Genomic DNA, 20,187 nt, shown 5'->3' on the forward strand with positions numbered 1-20,187 from the left:
ACTTAAAACTGATGATAAAATGTTTAGGAAAATCAAGATCTAAGGGAGCATTGACATTTTTTATAACAACTGGATATGGAATTTAAATTTCAATATTTTTATGCAATAAAGTATTAGTAATATCCTAAAGTTTTACATACACACACACACACACACACACACATACACACACATTTATTGTCAGACAGAATGAGAAGATTCTGTTTGGAATTATTTTTCTAGAACAGAATAAAGATTTAAGCCAGGAAAACATATTGACAAGTTATTTAGTGTGCTATATTTTTTAAAGAAATATAGCAAAAGTCTTTTCTATGGAGCTCTCTTTGAAAAGTCTCTCTAATGCTATAATACTTACCATGTTTAATGCTTTCTAAAGTTAAACATGTGGTGACAAATAAATGTATTCCTTTATCAGCCCAAGTACAAAACTTTTATGTATGTTTCAAGCCAATTGTCATTTTTTAAATCTCCAGTTAAAAATTTTAATTATCAGTAACAAATGTGGACATGCAATTATATTCCATAGCTGGTATGTTTAAGCAGGTCTAACTCTTTTCACCCCAAGCTAAGTATCTCAGTTGGTACATCACTGTCTTGAGTTTTTAGTACAAAGTGGGTTTCTGTTAAAAATAACTATAGTTATAACATCAAAAAAAACTTGAGATAAATAGAAATTTTAGTTCATGATTTTTTCAAGAGTACAAACATAATTCAAATATAATTGCTACTTTAAAATTTCACTCATGTCAGAGTATAAGCAATCACAAATACAGAAAACAACAGTTATTTGTTGAACATGTAGTGAAGACTTTGATGAACAGGATTCCTTTCATGTAGTGGGCCACATGAAGAAATTCACATTAACATGAAATTTTGACTTTGCATATGGATGCATATTTTTTCACAGCTTTTGAAGTCTACAGGGATTCCATCACTTTCTTCCCAGAATGTTCTCCATGAGATAATTGTGTGCCGTTTTGAGATGGGAGAGTTCCCTGAACCCCTTTGCTTTTTTGCAACAGGGATGTGGATGGCTTACTCCACCATTATGCTCAAACACTTTGCAGGAGGGACAGCACACAGATGAGTGGGTGCCGGGGCCGGGGCAAGCGCTTTTGGGCTCTGGCCCCATGGTAGTGTCTAGGGGTGTGTTAGAACTAATGCTCTTTTAGCAGTAGCCATATGCAAATGACTTAAGTGTTCACCAGCTCAGTGGTGAGCTGGGTGACAGCGTTTTACACCCTGCCCTCTTGGTACCCTGGTCCTTGTCTGACATCCAGGAAGAATCAAATCAGATGGACTTGAGGGATGATGAATGTGGAGGTTTTATTGAGTGATGAAGGTGGCTCTCAGTTGGATGAGGAGCTGGAAAGGGGATGAAGTGGGAAGATAATCATCCCCTGAAGCCAAACCATCTCCAGTTGGCTCCTCTCCAAAGTCATGCCATCTGAAATTAAGCCAAGTCTATCCACAGTCTCTGACACTCAGTTGCCTCTTCCCCACTCGACATTCAGCCTCTTGGCCCTCTGCCAGCTGAGGTCTGGGGTTTATATGGGCACAGGATAGAGGGGCAGGGCAGGCCAAAAGCAATATTTGGGTGGGAAAACAGGGATGTGAAATTCTCATTTAGGGCCGTGGGCCCCAGCTTGAGAGCAGAGACCTCACCAGGGACCCTGCACTCTTCTACCCCACATTTCCTGGCCTCCTGTCTGTATCAATTTCAATTAAAATCTAATTTAGTTTCCTTCTACTTTCAAAAGCCACTTTAAAGTATAAGTACAATTTCTTATGTTACTAAGGGAAATCACTATGTGGATGAATACAGTTACATTCACTTAACATTCTAAATGTACAATACATCTAATCTCCTCAGCCCCTCAGGTTTAAAAAATATATATACAGTTTTCAATGATGAAATTGAACAATTCACTTTGCAGATTAGGTTTTGTTTTAATCTTGTTGACTGCAACACCTTCCTGCTGGTCACTGTTATTACGTTGTCTATTTATCCCTGTTCTTCACTTCTCTGTATGCCAAACAGAAGCCTAAAGGAAAGGTCTTTTATGAGTTAACTCTCCTCTGGTAACAGAATATATCAAAAGGAAAACTGGAATCAAGGAGAAAACATTACAAAGATATTGACCATTCATCACCTTAATTGAAAATACTCCTTTCTAATAAGAAATTGAAAGCTTAGTCTCCCAACAAATTATTTTCAAAAATACAGCTAATTTTTCAGTGACCTAATCAAAATCTTATGTAGTAAACCTTTCTGCATTGAGCCTATATATATGTGCTATCTGTCCTAGACAAAGTTATGAAGAAGGCAAAAGTCATTTAATGTTAGTCTCCCAGGTTCTGCTCTTTAAAATTTAGATTCACCAAATATTTGGATTATCATGGATAGAGAGACATACAAACTCTCTAAACACAATATAGTTAACCTGTGCCCTGGTCACTTAAGCCAATGACTTGAAATTGATTGTTTCAAAAATTCTCTATTATCAGAATTTCTGCCTTAGAACATTGTATGGAAAAGGTCCCTTAGTGACTTAGCTATTATTTTTACTATTTTCTGAAAAATACTGCAGAACTCTGAAAGCTAGAAGTTGGCTTTTTGTCAACTTTTAAAAATTCTATTTACAAAACTATGGTAAAGGAAAATATTTTAGCAGCATGTGACACAGTATGCTTTGCTACACATGACATTTTACTTGAAGATGCAAAGTTCCATGCATATCCTACTAAGTAACAAAAGGACCTAGGTCAATTATATATTGCCTTGATTGGTTAAATTTTAGGTAACCAGCTACAGATTTGTTTTAATATTCTCTAGCTTATTTTAGACATCTTATATGGGGAAATACATGTAAAATAAATAAGTACGTAGACTTTCCTTTAGGATTTATTTTTTATGTTGGAAAATTAGTAAATAAAAATCTCTAAATTAAATATTTTTCAAGTGGTAAAAGGTCATTTGCTGCCTAATTGGATTTTCTCAAATATGTATATGTATACATATATTTAACATATATATGTATACAGAATTTTGAACAAATTTACTATAGAACATTTGAACCTATTTCCTACTGAAGTATTCCAGATTATGAGAAATTCTGTAGATAATTTCAAGAACATCATTTAGAATGAAATACAATGAACATTCTCTCATATGAGTGTTCTTAATCTAAGTGTCAGAATGTTATATTACTAATAGAATGTCTAACTTAAGTTTAACTTTTAATATTAAAGAAAGAAATCATAAACTTAAAATGTATCAAGACATTGGTCTTCTAATGGATAATGAAGACTATTAGTAGAATAGTTTAGGTCATAAATTTTACTTTCTCTAAACTCTAAAGACAATGGAGACATTAGTGACAATTTGCTTAAATTAACCTGGTCTTGCTTGCTTTGTTTTGTTCAAGTGAAACATACCATTTTACTGTAAAATATTTGGGTTAATTTGGTTACTTTTTAAAATTGAGCAATGCTCAACTGCCACTAAAATAAAAAATGTTTTTTGGTATGCCACTATAATCAGAAGTAATCACAGTAAAATACCATACTGAGACACATAATTTCCTTCCAAATTTGACAGGAACTTTAAAACTAAGATGAGAGAAGAAACTTTCATGAATAAAGTGCTTCAGATATCTCGCTGATAGAGCATATTTCAGAAAAGCAGACCAGGAAAGCTTGTTGTGCTTAACCTTGATGGATCAAGGACATCATGGAACCAGACTGCTTGGATTCAAGTTCCAGCTCCATCACAGGCTTACATCAGAGCTTTAGGAAGTTGCTTAACATTTCTGTAGTTCAATTTTCTCATCAGTGAAATATAGATAAATAATAGAAATATCTGCCCCATAATCTCATTGTAGGGATTAAATGACAATAAACAGTGGTTAGAACGGTGTCTGACTAGAAGATAAGGTTCTGTAAATTGTTATATGCTTAATCTTCCCAAACATCATTTCCTAGATATGACTAAAACTCAAGTCAATTTATTTTATTTTCAGCAAATACAACTAAATATGACTCACTCAGATATCCTTACAGAAATTTCATAATGGCTCTTACCATTATTTCCATAAGATTCTGCTACTAACAATGAAATTCTTATTGAAATTGAGGAACTAGGAGAACACAAGAGGAGAAATCGGCTATTACATGTACTTAGGATCCTTTAGGCAATGAAAATTAATTAATAATAATTCTTATTAACTATAAAAACTGAAAATAATTTTTCAGCTTTAAATGTAATAATGCTAAAATTAATGGTAAAATTTATTAAAGGACATGTGTACTATACTGATAAATATAGTTTTAAAGTGGACTTTTATACATGCTTAACTTTATTTCATATTTTATTTTATCTTTTTATTCTCTTAGTCTAGAACTCTGAATTAAAAGCCTGAATTAAAGTCAAGTGTTAATAATATCAAATAAGATAAAACCAACAAAAAGTTAATGCCCTATATAAATGAATATTACTGATAGGGTTGCTAAATTGAAATACCTGTGTAATAATAAAATTTTGCAGTTATATTGTCCTTTCATCATCTCATGTGTTTTACAAATTACTTAACTGTCTACGTGGGTGTTACATTATGTCTCACTACAATGGGTTTTCCCTTAAGCAAAACAACAGTTCTGCAACAGGACAGTGACCTCATACATAGTTAAATGTAGCAAATTAAAGTTCTTTCCTTCTTTTGAAAATTTCTGGCGAACTTACATGCATAAAATGCCACTATGAAAATAATATTAGACAAAAAAGAAAATAATATTACACACACACACACACACACACACACACACACACATGCCATCTCAAAAGTTTCCTGGTTTATGTAATTGATAAAGTTAAGAAGCTGTACTTTTCAAAATCTTTTAAGTGGGATCACTGATCACAGATAATTTGTTGTTTGTCATTACATCTGTTCAATCAATTTAGTTTGGAGGGACTCCTCTAATACTTACAGATGGTCTGCTCTAACAGTTTCTATGAATTTTTTAGGTACTGCAGGGACTTGAGTTCACCAGCAATTCTCTGCTCTCCTTAGTGTGTGCTGTCAAGAGCCACTGTCAGATTATAAGGGTGACTGTAATTAAGTTGTCAACATGTATCTGTAACTCTGGCATTTTCCTAACCTCTCAACATATACATGATGCCATAATCTGGTTTAAAATTCATTGTTTTTATGTAGAATTAGTCGTGTACTGCTATGTCTTCTGAAGTGTAATCATATCCCTGACTTCAAAGAGTTTACCATTTTTCGGGGCAGGGAAGCAAAATCTTTTCCTTTGACTCCTCTTTTACCTTATATTTCTAGCCCTGTAATCTACTCAAATCTACTTACATAGACTATTTTATTTTATTGTATGCAGTGTTACAATTATTATTAAAGCTCCCCAAATAATGCTATGAATAAACCAGCATTCTCATACCCTGCTGATAGAATATAGTAAATATTCTATGGCAAGTTTTTAGAAATCTTTATCAACATTATAAAATTATAAGTGCCATTCTCTTGGACCTAGCAATTTCATGTCTAAATAAATTTATATAGACATACCCACACACACAAACACACACACACATATATATATACACATACATACACACATGTATATATATTTTCTCACATGAAAAATGCATAAAATTGTTTACTGTATTATTTTCTTGTAAAAATGTAGAAAAGATTAAGAATTTTTAAATAAATTACTGTGTGTGTGTGTGTAAATGGATATTTGCTTAAATATGTATAGTTCTACAAAGGATACACAAGAAACTATTACGTTGTTTGCCTTCTGGGATGTGAATTGGCTATCAAATAGGCAGGAATGGAGATTTTCTAAACCTTTTGAAATTCAAATTATAGGAATTGTTTGCCTTAAAAACAATAGGGGAAGGGGTCTTGAAAATTAAATTCTTAACCTTCCTCTTAGCGTCACTACCAATTTTCTCATTCAATTAATACTTGTTTAGCCCTTAACAGATACAGTGGCAAATCAAACACTAATACATTTGCTTAAAATGCAGCACTAAGGCCCCAAATTTATATGCATCACATCTTTATTATTTAAGATTCAATATATTTAAAACTGAAGACATTGATTATACGTCTGTGTAGCTCCTCATCATGATTTTTATATTTGTACTACTATTTTGGAACTAAATAAACAATAAATTTTGACAATTAAATAAAATTTAAATAACACCTAGTTATAAAAACATTTTTAAAATTGAGGCCAGTTTTATTTTCTTGGAGCCAGCAAAGAGAACACAAAATAAAAGACTGGGCTTCTTTTGGGTGTGAGTAGAACATTGTTTTATAAATTATTTTCTCCAAATATTTATTTTAAGTTTTTAATATTTTGATTATGGTTCTGGCTAGAACTTCCATTTTAAACTGATTTTAGGAACCACTGGAAGTCACTGAATGACATTTTAAGAACAGGAATCCAACTTACAAAAATAAGAGTATTAAAATTCTACAATTGGAAAATTTTAAATAATTTAAATTAGGTAGGAAACTATATCAATAATTATTGACCACACACACATTGAAATTGCTCTGATCTGAATGTGTCTCCCCAAAATCTGCATGTTCAAATCTAGTTACCAATGTGATGAAGTTGGAGATGGGGCCTGTGGAAACTGAATTGGTCATAAGAGCACAGCACTCCTCAATGAGATTAGTGCCCTTATAAGGGAGGATCCAGAGAACTGCCTGGCTCCTTTCACCATGTAAGGATACAGCTAGGAGACTTCATCTATCAACCACGGGACAGGCCCTTACTAGACACCAAATCTGCTGGTGCCATGGTTTTGGACTTCCCAGCCTCTGCAACTGTCAGAAATAAATTTCCCTTGTTTATAAGCTACCTAGTTAATGGTATTCTGCTATAGCCAACCAAGAGAACTAAGAAATTATTGTTTACCTGCAGTAAAATAATTACAGAAGGCATTACAGTGTTCCTTTCCTCCATAGAGATTAAAACATACTGCATTTTATGACCCTTAATAAGTGTGGATGTACCTTTTGACAGATATTGTATCTTAATTTTTCATATATTCTGTCCCTTGTTATTCATAAAAATTCCTCCCTAAAATTTCAGTTAATATATGCATATGATTTAGTATTGTTTCAGTCTTCTTTTTATGCCCAAAGTCACTTACTGTAGAAAACAAGTGGTACAGTTCATTTGTAGCTATGAAAAATGTGCCCCTAACAATGCCAATTTAAAGTACTTGACAAATTTATTAAAATTGCAACCAAAGCAATCAGCTGGCCAATTTTTTAAAATATGTAATAGTTAAATATAACTCACCTCCTTTAGTAAGCAAAAGATATTGGTGCTGGTGGAAGGGGGCAAAATAGCTGGATATCCTACATGTATGAGGAAGAAGAAACATAATTAAACTTAGATTGTGGATGATTTTGTTGTATAACTTAGCTACTATTAGACAGATAGCAATTTTTTAAAATTTCCCCATGTTCTAACTTTCTATGGGCCTTGTGATTTTGGAAATTTAATGAAAAAATAGGGAAAGTGACGACATTTGTTACATATATATATTTATGTATATATAAATATATATATATATACAAAAATATATATATATTTATATATACCAGTATATACCAGTCACTGGGCCCAAAAGTTATGTATTGCCATATATGTTTTATTACTTAATTTTAGGAAGTAACTGATCTCATTCTTTTATTCATTCAGTCAACAACTATTTCAGAGTACCTGCTCCTATGTATGAAGAGTGTAGAGGTAAACAGAACAAATGAACAAGGAAATCCATGTCTTCACAAGCTTACCATCTGGTAGTAAAATAATGGTAATAAACGTCTTCGATAAATCAATGAATCATATATACAGTATTTTATCAGGTAAACATATCTATGAAAAATATAGCAGGGTAAGGATATAAGTAAGCCTAACTAAGGGTGTCAATTTTTAATAACATGGTCAGAGTTGACCTCACTAGAAGAACCATTTAAAGCAGCAGGAGAGGAAGCCTTGCAGCTATTTGGGGGAAGAGAGTTTCAGTCACAGAGATGGAAAGCCAAGCTCTGTCGACCTAATGGACAGCATGCTGACCATAGTTAATAATAATGTACTCTATAGTTGAAATTTGCTAAGAGACTAGATAGATCTCATGTGTTCTCACCACAAATTTTAAAAAAAGATAGCAATATAAAAATAAATGTCAGGACAATGATGAAGAAACAACAAAGGAGTAAGGAGAAAATGAAGAAACAATGAAGTAGGAAGAAATCAACACAAATTAGTGTCCACAAAGGTAAAGGAAGAAAATTGTTCAAAGAGGAAGAATGATTACCAGGTACAAGTGGTTGTGAAATGCTAAGTATATAGTGGATTAAGAATTGACAAAGGAATTTCACAATATGGATGTCATTAATGACCTTGACAGAAGCAGTATCATTAATTAAAAAAAAAATAAAAGTAAGGCCAGGAGCAGTGGCTCACATCCATAATCCCAGTGTTTTGGGAGGCAGAGGTGGGAGGGTCACTTGTAGCCAGGAGTTTGAGGCCAACCTGGACATCATAGCAAGTCTCTACAAAAAAAAAAAAAACATAAAAATTAAAAATTAGGCTAGTGTCTGTGGCTCATGTTTCTAAGTCCAGCACTTTGGAAGGCCAAGGTAAGAGGATCACTTGAGTCCAGGAGATCAAGACCATCTTGGGCAACATAGTAAGACCCCATCTCTACAAAACATTTAAAAAATTAGCTGAGTGTGGTGGTGGCTGGCTGTAGTCCCAGCCACTGAGGAGACTGGGGTGGGAGGATTGCTTGCCTGCAGCAAGCAGGGCTTGCTCTGTCACCCAGGTGGGAATGTAGTGGTGCAATCAGGGCTCACTGCAGCATCAACCCCAATGCCTGAGTGAGCCCCAATCGCAGCAGAACATTCCTGTCTGGGTGACAGAGAAAGACATTATCTCTAAAAAATAAAAAAAATTAAAAAATGAGAAAATAAACAATGAAAAATTATCTGGGTGAGGTGACACATGCCTATGGTCCCACGTACTTGGAAGTCTAACGCAGGAGAATGGCTTGAGCCCTGGGGTCAGAGGCTCCAGTGAGTTACGATTGTGCCACTGCACTCCAGCCTGGTAGACAGAGCAAGATCCTGTTTCTGGAAAAATAAAATGGAGGTAAAAATCTGACTGAGGTAGAATTCAGAAATAGAGATGGGGTATGTCAAAGGGAATGGGTAACAGAAAATTCTTTCACGGTGTTGCTCTGGCAGTGGAATAAGGAACCAATGTAGTAGTTAGTGAGATGAGTGGGACATGAGAAGGTTTTCTAAGATGGAAGGAATTACAGCCTATATTTATGCTAGTGGAATTATCTAGTAGAGAGAAAAAATAGATGATACAATACAGAGAGAAGTGCTGCTGTCTATATGTACGCTAGAAGAGATGGGATATAATGCAGAGTTGCATGTGTCTGTGTGGGTTAGGGATCAGCCTGAAGTATGAGGGCAGACCATCTGTAGCAGTAGGAGAGAATGCAAAGTATATATTGTTAAGAGTTAATATGGGATATATTTGCATTCTCAGTGAAATACTTACAGTCGTTAACTGAGACTGAGAATTGGAGAAAAGGGTTATAAATAATGGCCTAGGACAATGAGAAAGCACATGAAATAGAGTATAACTGCTGCTCTGTACTCAGAGACAATATGAGGTTCATTTATAAGAATTTAAATTAAGACTTGTCAGCAGTCCTGTGATTTTTTTTTTTCCTCCAGCCACTGTCAGCAAGTATAGCCTAGATAGAGAATTAGGTTAAGTCCAAGTCATGACTTCACCACACAAACAAGCTGAGGGGCATTGAGGAAGAATAAAGGGGTGGGGGAGTGGGGGGTAATTATAAACCCTGACCAGAGAATTTAACTGCGATAAGAAGAAAAAGAATGTATAAGTGGGAATGAAGGACAGTGAAATACTGGTAGAATCAGTGAAGTTTAATCCTAGTCGGGTAAAAGATTTGTTGGAATATTTAAACTTGCCACACTTCTCTCTTGATGTAACAAAGACTAAGAAGAGGCAAATTCAATGAAATATGGGTTGTAATAAATACAAGTTTAATTTATCACATACTATCTTGAGTTTTCCAATATTAACTCATCAATCGGCAATCATCCCAGTAGAATCTTAGTACTTCTTCAAGGGTGATTGGGAGGAAGGTGGGGATGGATAATAGATACAAAAAACAGTTAGAAAGAATAAATAAGACCTATTTGATACCACAACAGAGGTGACTATCGTCAATAACAATTTAATTGTACATTTTAGATTGACAAAAAGTATATAATTGGATTGTTTGTAACAAAAAGGATAAATGTTTGAGAATGGATACCCCATTCTCCATCATATGATTATTACACATTGTATGCCTGTATTAAAACATCTCATGTACCCTATAAGTATATGTAAAAATACATCTACTATGTAAACGTACACCTATGTCCCCACAAAAAAATAAAAATTAAAAAAGTATACAAACACTTGGAAACTAAAAGTCTCACACTTTTCCTTGTCACAGGCAAAGTATTCACAAATTATATATTCATGAATATCATTTTCTTTCTCATATATTTTTTGTTTACTTTTTTATAATCAGAAGAAATTCAATGGTTCAAGCTCCTTCACCCCAATACTGTATTTCCATTGATTTCAAACGGGCCATAAAAAGGACAATATTATAAGTTGCTGAGGAACTTTCTCATTCTTCCCAACATCACCATCAATTTTTCCTGCTCAAAATCATAAAACCTGTTATTCACTTTTAAAATAGTTCAGTTGAATATTCTCATAAGATTATAATTTTATAGTTAAGTATATAGAAAATGATGTACAGAAAGTTTTTTTTTTAAACAAGTAAATGGCTGATCTGAGATTCAAAGCTAAGTCTGGAAATTGTTTCCACCACACTCTACTGAAAATAAACAATCATAGCTTTTTAGAATATTTTATATTTCATATTGTTTAAAAAAGAATACAGACTAAATTGTTTTCATTTGTGGCTTAAAATTAAAATGGAAAAATTTTGACCCACTTCTATTTATATCTGTTTAGGATGTTATTTTTATTTGCTTTGATTTTGATAAGCCCTGAATGTTTCCAGGAGTTTTCAAAGTGAACCTGATGTCCTGACAATGATTAATCTTGGGATTGGAAAATTCTCATTACCAGTCAGCTCATTCTGTTACCTAGATATTTCAGTCTAAAAAAAAAGTAGGCCAGTTGTTCATTTCTGTGTCTTAGCCTTTCTCTACTTTTTTTCCTCTGTGTTTGTGTGTTTGTTCGTGAGAGTGTGTGCGTCCTCACATTATCGTGTGTGCGTCCTCACATTATCACGTGTGTTGATCTCAGTATTTGAATCAAAAAACGATGAAACAGGAAAATGTTTAGAATCTACAGCCTGCCAGTAGGTCAAGCAGAATTGAAGCAATGTGTTAAAGGATGTCAGCTGTAGTCTCAGTTTGGTGATAGTTATGTCCAGTCCAGTTCATATGATTAATTCTATTCTCTTGCTATGCCTACTAAACACTTTAGAGAAGCAAAATGTCATTTTTTTCTTCAAGAATAAAATGTAATCTCAAGTACATTGTATTCTAATGAGTTAAATTATAAATTTAATATTTTGCAAAGCATTACAATAGAATAATGGCTGTTTTAAACCTTCGGAGATATATACTAATAAAAGAAAATATATCTAATGTATTAAAATGGTTGCTTTTGAGGTAAGGTAAGTAGGAGTAAGGAAGGGGATGCTGTGAGATGATTATTTGTATGTATATATGTATTTATATACATATAAATGAAGATGAAAATAAAAGCTTGACTAGGATCAGAAATAACGGTGAATCCTGAAAAGAAGCATGTAAGTAAATAAAATTTCTGCATATAGGATGAAAATAAAACCTTATCATAGTGTTAATTTGTGGTATAATTGTATTAATGATAATCGTCAAACTATACGAAATTGTTGTATTTCTAGGCTTAAAAAGTAACATATTGGCAACTCCATGTTGTTTAAACTTATACTAATATGAGTAACTCATATTTACCTGTGACATCACTCATAGGACATTTCATGCCACCCTTACAAAAACATTATTACATAATCAGGAATTACCCATGATACAGATAAATTAAATTGTCACTCAGAGAATTTAATTATGTTGCTCAAGGTTAGAGAGGTATTACACATCAAAGCTAGATTTCTGGAGTCTTAAACTAATCTGCTTTCTAGTATAAACCATATAAAAGGTGGTCATGGGCTTTTAGTCTCATCCTGGTTCTGCTGGTAATAAGGAAAATTCTTTAGATTACAATATCTTTATCTACAAAATGAAAAGGTTGGATATATAATATGATTTATAACTCATCAAATATGTCAAAGATCTCTAATTTTATTTTTGTCTTTTTAATAAAGGCCTCGTGATTATTATTATTGCATTTACACTGAAGTATGAATATAGTTCCTCACTCATTACATTACTATTAAACAGACTGGGTCACTGAGATCTTGGCTAAACCTTAATCTCTCATACTGTTCAATATAACTTTTTAGTAAAGATTTGCTTATGATGAAAAAGTCAGGGGACCACCCAACAGTGACCTCTGATGTTACTACCATTTCCTTTATTGAATGGTCTTGGTCATTAACCTATAGCAGCGGCATTCACATATGTATTGGTAGTAAAGCCTTGATTTCTTTCCAATAAAATTTTATGCAGAATCTAATGTAAAACAGACTTGCATAAGGATGAGGTCTTATTGCAGTAGTTGCAAATGAACCTGAGAAATTGCTCTTGTTTAACTCCATATAAAATTTCCAGAAATCCTGAGGCTCCAGAAGATGTCAATCAAAAACATTGTCCGATATTTGTATATTCTATTGCCATCTATGTGTAAGAATACTAACTGAATTCTCCATTGTATTTTCCTTCCGTATATATGGAAGACTTTTTTCTTAAATTTTAGGATGCAACATTAAGTTAACTGGCTAACAGAAAATGGAGATTATTTCCAAAATAGTTCTATGTTTCTTCACCTATAATAAACAATTTTTTAAATCATAAGACCTTATACATGAATATTTTGATTCTGTGAGTTGAATAAAATTAGACAAATGTCAAACAAATATTTACTGCATCTGATCGTCACTCAGTATATTTAATTCTCTAAAAATGTATCATAAAATATCTGCTTCAGACAAAGTATCTGTTGATTTAATTGACATTTCATATACAGACATCAAAGAGTTTGAAATTCTTGGCCGGGTGCGGTGGCTTACGCCTGTGAACCCAGCACTTCGGGAGGCCAAGGTGGGTGGATCACCTGAGGTCAGGAGTTTGAGACCAGCCTGACCAACATGGAGAAACTCCGTCTCTGCTAAAAATACAAAAAATTAGTCGGGCGTAGTGGCGCATGCCTGTAATCCCAGCTACTCGGGAAGCTAAGGTAGGAGCCCGAGGCAGAGGTTGCCATGAGCCGAGATCGCGCCATTGCACTCCAGTCTGAGCAACAAGAGTGAAACTCCAACTCAAAAAAAAAAAAAAAAAAGGAATTCTTATATGATATTTGTTACTGTCCCACATATGGTGGACACTTCTTGCAGTGAACGCTGACACCAACATAGAAACATAAGGAAGACATCCTATACTTACTATCCATTATTGCAGCAATGCCCTAAGGGAAGCAAAAAACTTTCAGCATTGAATATAAAAAGAAACATTTTCACAAAGCACAAATGTTTGTCGTATACTCAAAGAATGCAGAGATTCAAGGTTAATTATGTTTTCAATAAACTGTTTTATTTTGTTAGGAAACGTTTCTTCTTATTCTAAAAGTGTTTTTCCTAGCATCTTTCAACATATTGGAACACATAAGTCGTTTTAACGCTTCTGTATCATCTAATGAACCAATTTGGAAATAAAATTAAATTATGAAAGAAGATACTACTAAAATAAGCATTTTTAAATACAACTGTTATCCAATGAAAAACACTCTAGACCACCCACTTTCTCTCATCTTAAACTTTTATTTTTGTAGTAGCTGAATTATCATATGTATCTGGGACTATTCTGTCTCATTCAATTTCACTAACATGCTTGCCTTATTTATTAGCAAATAGTTCTTACATGTCGATTTAGAGCAGAAAACTTTTATTCTGTAAATGGCCACACAGTAAATATGTTTAAAAACAAACAGGCAATAGACTGGATTTTGTTCACAGAACATAGTCTACTGACTGCTACTTACAGAGAATCCTTTAAAATTTATTTTATATTAATATTTTATTAATTTATCTATTTATTCAGAGATGCAGAAAGTTAAAGGAAAAAATATGATAAGGAAAAGTCAAATGGTACAGTCTAAATTGTGTATTATAGGAAGGACTCGATTCATCAGGGACCTGTAAACTATAAGAAATTGAATACAATACATTTATTAAAATAAATTTACCTATTTCATTCTTATATACATAGTAATTAGTTGAAAAGTCTCTAAAATCAGTCTTTAATTCACAACTCTCTCCAGATAGCATTGCTGGAGGGAAACGGCTCATTTCTGAACAAATGAAAATCTATAGGGGAAGCGAAGGCAATGTTCTTTGTAGCGAGTGCCAGGTGGCAAGCCACAGTTGTATAATATATTTACTCCCTGTTCTCTATTGGCATTTGCTCTAGAAGCTGGGCAATCACTTCATTTCCCTGGGCTGCAATTTTCTCACCTATGAAAGGGATAGATGGGTTTAGATGCTATCTAAAATCCCTCCGAGTTTTAGGTTTCTGTTAAATGGCAGCCCATTTCTCACTTTATATTATCTGAAATCACAATGGAAATTCTCTGTATCTTGCCTTTGCAATAGCAAATTTCATATTATGTTTTGCCTCATATCTAATGCTACCATTTCACCAATTCTAGCTGCCTACTCATTTCTATTCTTATAATGTTTGTGTTTGTTAAGTGCCTTTTTCTTTCTGTTGCCAATGAAAAGCCATAATGGATTAACCTTCACTTCTCAACTAATTAAAATAAGTTTTTAAATAACACAACTAGAAAATGTTTCCTCTTTGTTAAAAAATACCCAATGAATAAAAATTACATATTTTTTAAAGTTTTCTTCTTTGCTGAACTACTTTTTGGATCTGTGGAAGAACATCAACAAAGGAGGCAGTCCTTGAAGCAAAACAATTAACAAATAGCTCCTCTAAGCAGCTGACAAAGACCCTGTTGTGTCGCTGCACAGCAGTTAGAAAGTTTAATGAAAAAAAGAAGGGCCAAAAAATTGACTTTTAAGAAACTAATCCCTTGAAAATGACGAGGAGCTGTGGCATCATATGTATCACACAAAATTGGTTAATGATATCAACTTATTAATGACTAAAACCAACTCCTTAATATGCAGAACTTAAAGTTTCAGGCTCTTGAGTATAGGTAAGATACTAGCCAAACCTCACAAGGGCAAATTCAAAATGGGATAAAAATAAAAAGGGAGAAGATTAAAGAATTAAATGTGCATTCATAAAAGCACTTTTTTTATCATGTCATCAATTATAGAATTTCTAATTGTGAAAACTAAATATTGCAACTTTTTGCAATATTTATTTTATAAATCCATTTATACTTATATTTATTTTATAAATACAATTATATACACAATATTTATTTTATAAGTACAATTATATAAATAAATTTTCATATATTATTAACTTTCTTTTAAAAATGATTAACATTTTATTGACTCTAGTTATTTTATGGTTAAAAACTATGTTATATTCATATATTTCAAGTAGAAGAAAAGCTATTATCTCCAGAATGCACTCAAATAAGCACATACATAGTAGAAAAATTCCGGTCTTTTCCACTTTCAAACACTGAGATGAAACATGTGAGTCAAGTGATATAAAAGCTTACTTTTCAGATGTTGTTGGTGATGCTGAAAAAGTACCCAAATTGGCTTTGGAAAACCTTGATTCAAATTCTGGCTCTGTGCTTTACTAAACACTCAACTTTGTAAAAGCTATTTCACTTTATATTGGCTATAAAGTTGAACTCACCATCTGCCCTTCATACCTACCATGTGTTGTGGAGTTCAAAGGTGATTGCGTATATGGAAGAGTTTTTTAAGGGGTAAAATGCCGTAAAATTGTTAATCAAGCTCTTCTGGAAGGATAGAGAAAGAGAAACAAATTAACTGAAAATCTGCAGAATTGTACTCATTTATAATCTTTGTCCTGCCTCTAATTAACCATTAATTAGATGAGTTTGAATGAAATATTTCATCTGGATTTTAGATTTTATTTTTGGGAAATGAGGAAGTTGTTAATTTGGAAGATCTCCATGCAGTCTTTGGTTCTAACTTCTATGATTTATAGCTGAAAAGTTTTTCCAGGGTCTGTCTTTTTTCTTTCAGCATTATCTTCTCCATGAGTGAATTCATCTACTTCAGAATCACCATAACTATTCATGTTACGAATTATTTTAAATTATAATTATTGACTACTATTTTCAGGCAATTAATCCCTTGTTCATAGCTTCAGTTCTTTCAACCATCAGAAATCTTCCCCTGCATATGCTAGAGATACATCAAGTATTAAATGCAAAAAAAAAAAAAAAAAAAATCACCATTTCTCTCTTCTCTAAAAATCAAGCAAAATTATATTTTTTTGCTTGTTCAAATTGTGGCACTAAAAGCTACCTTGGACTAAAACAAGAGAAAGAAAGAAAGACAAAATCCTGACTCTTCCTTCTTCATTATTCCCTAAGCTAATTAATTGAGAGTCCTACAAAATTGTAGTCTGTAAGTATTTATTTTTTCTACATATCCTAAATTTTCTAAAAGATAACATTAAAACCAGCAACTTGAAAAAAACTCATATAAAGCAGAAATAGATTACCTAAAAAGAAAATATAACTATAATCCTATAAGGACTATATGTCAAAGATGAACATAAAGTTTTAAGCACATTTTTATTTTGTACACATTTATAAATAGTAATTACTACTAAATTTTATAAAACTAAATTTCTGATAAAACTATCTTATAAATTATATAAAATTATAAAATATAAAATTAAAATATTTTTAACGCTTAAAAAATTTTATATATTAAAAATAACATTTTGTGACATGTCTATGTATCTATTATATTTAACTCATTCTTTTCGGAAGCTATATAGTCATTAATTCTATGAGTACACATTTAATTTTTTTACTATTTTTATCATTCAAAAATCATTAGAGTTAATATTTACCTTTGTGTATTGAGAAAAAGATTACGTGTGTATATATATAAATGAATGCACAAAAATGTATGCATTGAGTTTACTCACATGTATGTGTCACATATGATTTTTAGAAAGCAAAAATTTCACTTTTCAAAAATCATCTTTTCCTTCTCATTTACTACTGTCCTAATTCAGCAGTTTATAGTATCTTTCCTGAGTCACCACAATAGCTCCTTCACTTTTCCTAATGCCTGTAGGCTGTTGGTCTTTAAATCTGTTTTTGTCAACACCAGTCAAATGTTTCATTTGAAATGGAAATGAAAATGTGCTGTTGCTCTCCTTAAATGCATTAATTGCTTCCGGACACCCACAGGATAAAACCACCTTCCCAGATTGCCATGCAAATCCTCCATGATCTTGTTGTCACTTAGTACACTCCCGCTTGTATGTCTAAAATGCCTCCCCTATTTTTTTTGACTACCTCACTCTCACATATCTTCTGAGGCTTAATTCAGATATTACATTCATCCAGTGGCTTTGTAGACATCCTCAGATTGGTTTATGTGCTCATTTTATACATCCTTCACTTTCAAAGTCTGTCACTACGTTACTCTTTTATTTTAATCTCCAAAGGGTAGGGACTATACATCATGGCCAATCCCTAACATTCTGTAAAACAGCAGTAATAAAACTTTGAACTTCATGGAATTTGGTTGTTCAAGATTAATAAAACCTTAGGTAAGTTACCCTAGACCTTAGTTACTTGCCTGTTGTCTGAAGAAAAACCCAAACAATGAATTGTCCTAAGTTTAGAATGAATGTCTGTGAGTGGTATCTGGTGGCCTTCTAAGCCCTCTCTATTGTTTCTTAAACTCCAAAACCAAGCCCCTTCACCACCAACTGTGTCCATCTCAGACTGGCCCTATAGAAGCTAGAACCAAGATCAAGCTTACTGGTGAAGAATCTAAATTTCTTAAAGGCAAAGCACTACATCTTCATGTTTGTGTTGATTTCACACTTAACATAGTATCTTGTTTTACTTTTACTGATGAGACACCCACAAGGGCAATGAGGGAAATAAAACTAACCTCTTGAGACTTAACTGTAGAATCTTTATTAAATAGGCCAGAGCAAAGCGTTTATCTGATAGTAGAGAAATCCAATTAAATGATAGTAGAGAAATAAGTTATTAGTAAGTAGAGGCAAAATATGATAAATTTAAAATATTAAAAAGTAAAGTCTTAACAGAAAAATTCAGCATTGCCCTTCATGTGCTAAGAAGGAGGATTCTTAGTTGTAGACTTCCATATTTATGCATGATCACACTTTTCAACAATTTCATTTTCTTATTCTGATCCCATGTTCACAAAATGAGATATCTTCAAAAAACTTATAACAAGTATAGCTTGAGCATCAACCAATGTAAGCTACAGTCAGTCTGAATGAAATCGGTTCTAAAATATGACTATGATCTCATCAGTGGATACTGGCTGGACATTAGTTTTTTATTTTACTACTTTCCTAGGGCTGCTTTAACAAAGTAGCATAAACTGGATTGTATCAAACAACAGACATTTTTTTCTATCCCAGTTTTGGAGGCTAGAAGTCTGAAATCAAGATGTAGGAACTATGCAGGACATAGTTCCTTTGGGACTCTGGGTAGAACCCATCTTTGTCTCTCACTTGCTTCCATTGTTGGTAGTCAATCCCTGCTCTTTGACTTGAAGTTACATCACCTCAGTGTTTGCTTTGGTGGCCACCCGTTCTCCCTGTGCTTGTCTCTCACTTCGTCTTATAGGGACCGCTGTCTTATTTTTTAAGGGCCCATACTCCAGTATGAGCTCAAATTAATCACATCTACAAACACCCTATGTCCAAAGAAGGCCACATGCACAGATGCCGGGGTTAAAATTGTGACATATCTTTTGGGAGGTGAAATTCAACCCATAAGAACAGTTACCAAGCAACTATCTTTTTCCAGTGCCATCTCAGATATAACTTACTCCTGGGATAGAATGTATTACCACATGGAACTCCAGATTTGTTATTACTGATGTCCATGACTGTGAGTTACGTAAAAATCAATTTTCTAAGAAAGTTATCCATACATGTAGCCTTTTGTATTATGTGGCACCATGAGCAAATTCCTTAGACAACAAGCTTCCAGGACAGAACTTGGGTCTTAGAATGTTCTCTCAGGTACTAAATGTCCTGTTGAGAGGCCTTTCAGAAGATTGGAAATGCTTGTTAAAATTCTAGCTATAATCTTAGTAGGGTGCAATTATTTAATGTACGGGTAATGTACATTTGTTGAGTACAGCAAATAAGAAAAGAATAGTTATCGGTAAAAAAAAAAAAAAAATTCTTGTCATTAAAATGGGAAACTTGTCAAAATCAAAATGAAGCTGATTGTATCAAGCTCTGACAAAATGGAGTCAGGGAACGCCATGAAGAGAGAGTTCTCACGCGTAATTTCCTGATAACAAAAGACTCTGCCAACAGGAGGCGGAGTTGCAGTGAGCCGAGATCGCGCCACTGCACTCCAGCCTGAGCGACGGAGCAAGGCTCTGCTTCCAAAAAAAAAAGACTGCCAAAATCGCAACCTTGCACAGAGGCCAGAGTACATTACACATGTTATACTTCTACAATGACATCCGCCCAGCAACTACCCGTTTAATCTTGGACTGATACCATCCTTGTTATTGATTCTGGTAGCTAAGGATAATTGCTTAAAAATAACTTATGTAACCCTCTTCATTTTACCTTTAAAAACTTGTGTCTTGGGAGGCTGAGGCAGGAGGATCACCAGGTCAGGAGTTCGAGACCAGCCTGATCAACATGGTGAAACCCCATCTCTACTAAAAATACAAAAATTAGCCAGGCGTGGTGG

The 20,187-nt window shown here is 33.4% G+C and overlaps 1 long non-coding RNA gene across 5 annotated transcripts in view; it reads right to left on the reverse strand.

The window, feature by feature from the left end:
- The window catches only part of LOC105370286 (uncharacterized), a 97,595-nt gene that overhangs the window by 74,905 nt on the left and 2,503 nt on the right, over positions 1 to 20,187 (reverse strand). Inside the window, exons 2-4 of one of the 5 annotated variants that reach the window (XR_001749945.1) lie at positions 16,148 to 16,233; positions 9,075 to 9,182; positions 7,342 to 7,400 (exon numbers count right to left, since the gene is read on the reverse strand). This is a non-coding gene — a long non-coding RNA (uncharacterized LOC105370286). Of the gene's footprint in view, positions 1 to 7,341; positions 7,401 to 8,564; positions 8,604 to 9,074; positions 9,183 to 13,730; positions 13,753 to 16,147; positions 16,234 to 20,187 lie in introns of those variants that run through there. The other 4 variants (XR_001749947.1, XR_001749946.1, XR_942129.2 and 1 more) reach the window with 4 other exon arrangements.

The sequence above is a fragment of the Homo sapiens genome, chromosome 13 (assembly GCF_000001405.40).
Source record: "Homo sapiens chromosome 13, GRCh38.p14 Primary Assembly".
Lineage (NCBI taxonomy): Eukaryota > Metazoa > Chordata > Mammalia > Primates > Hominidae > Homo > Homo sapiens.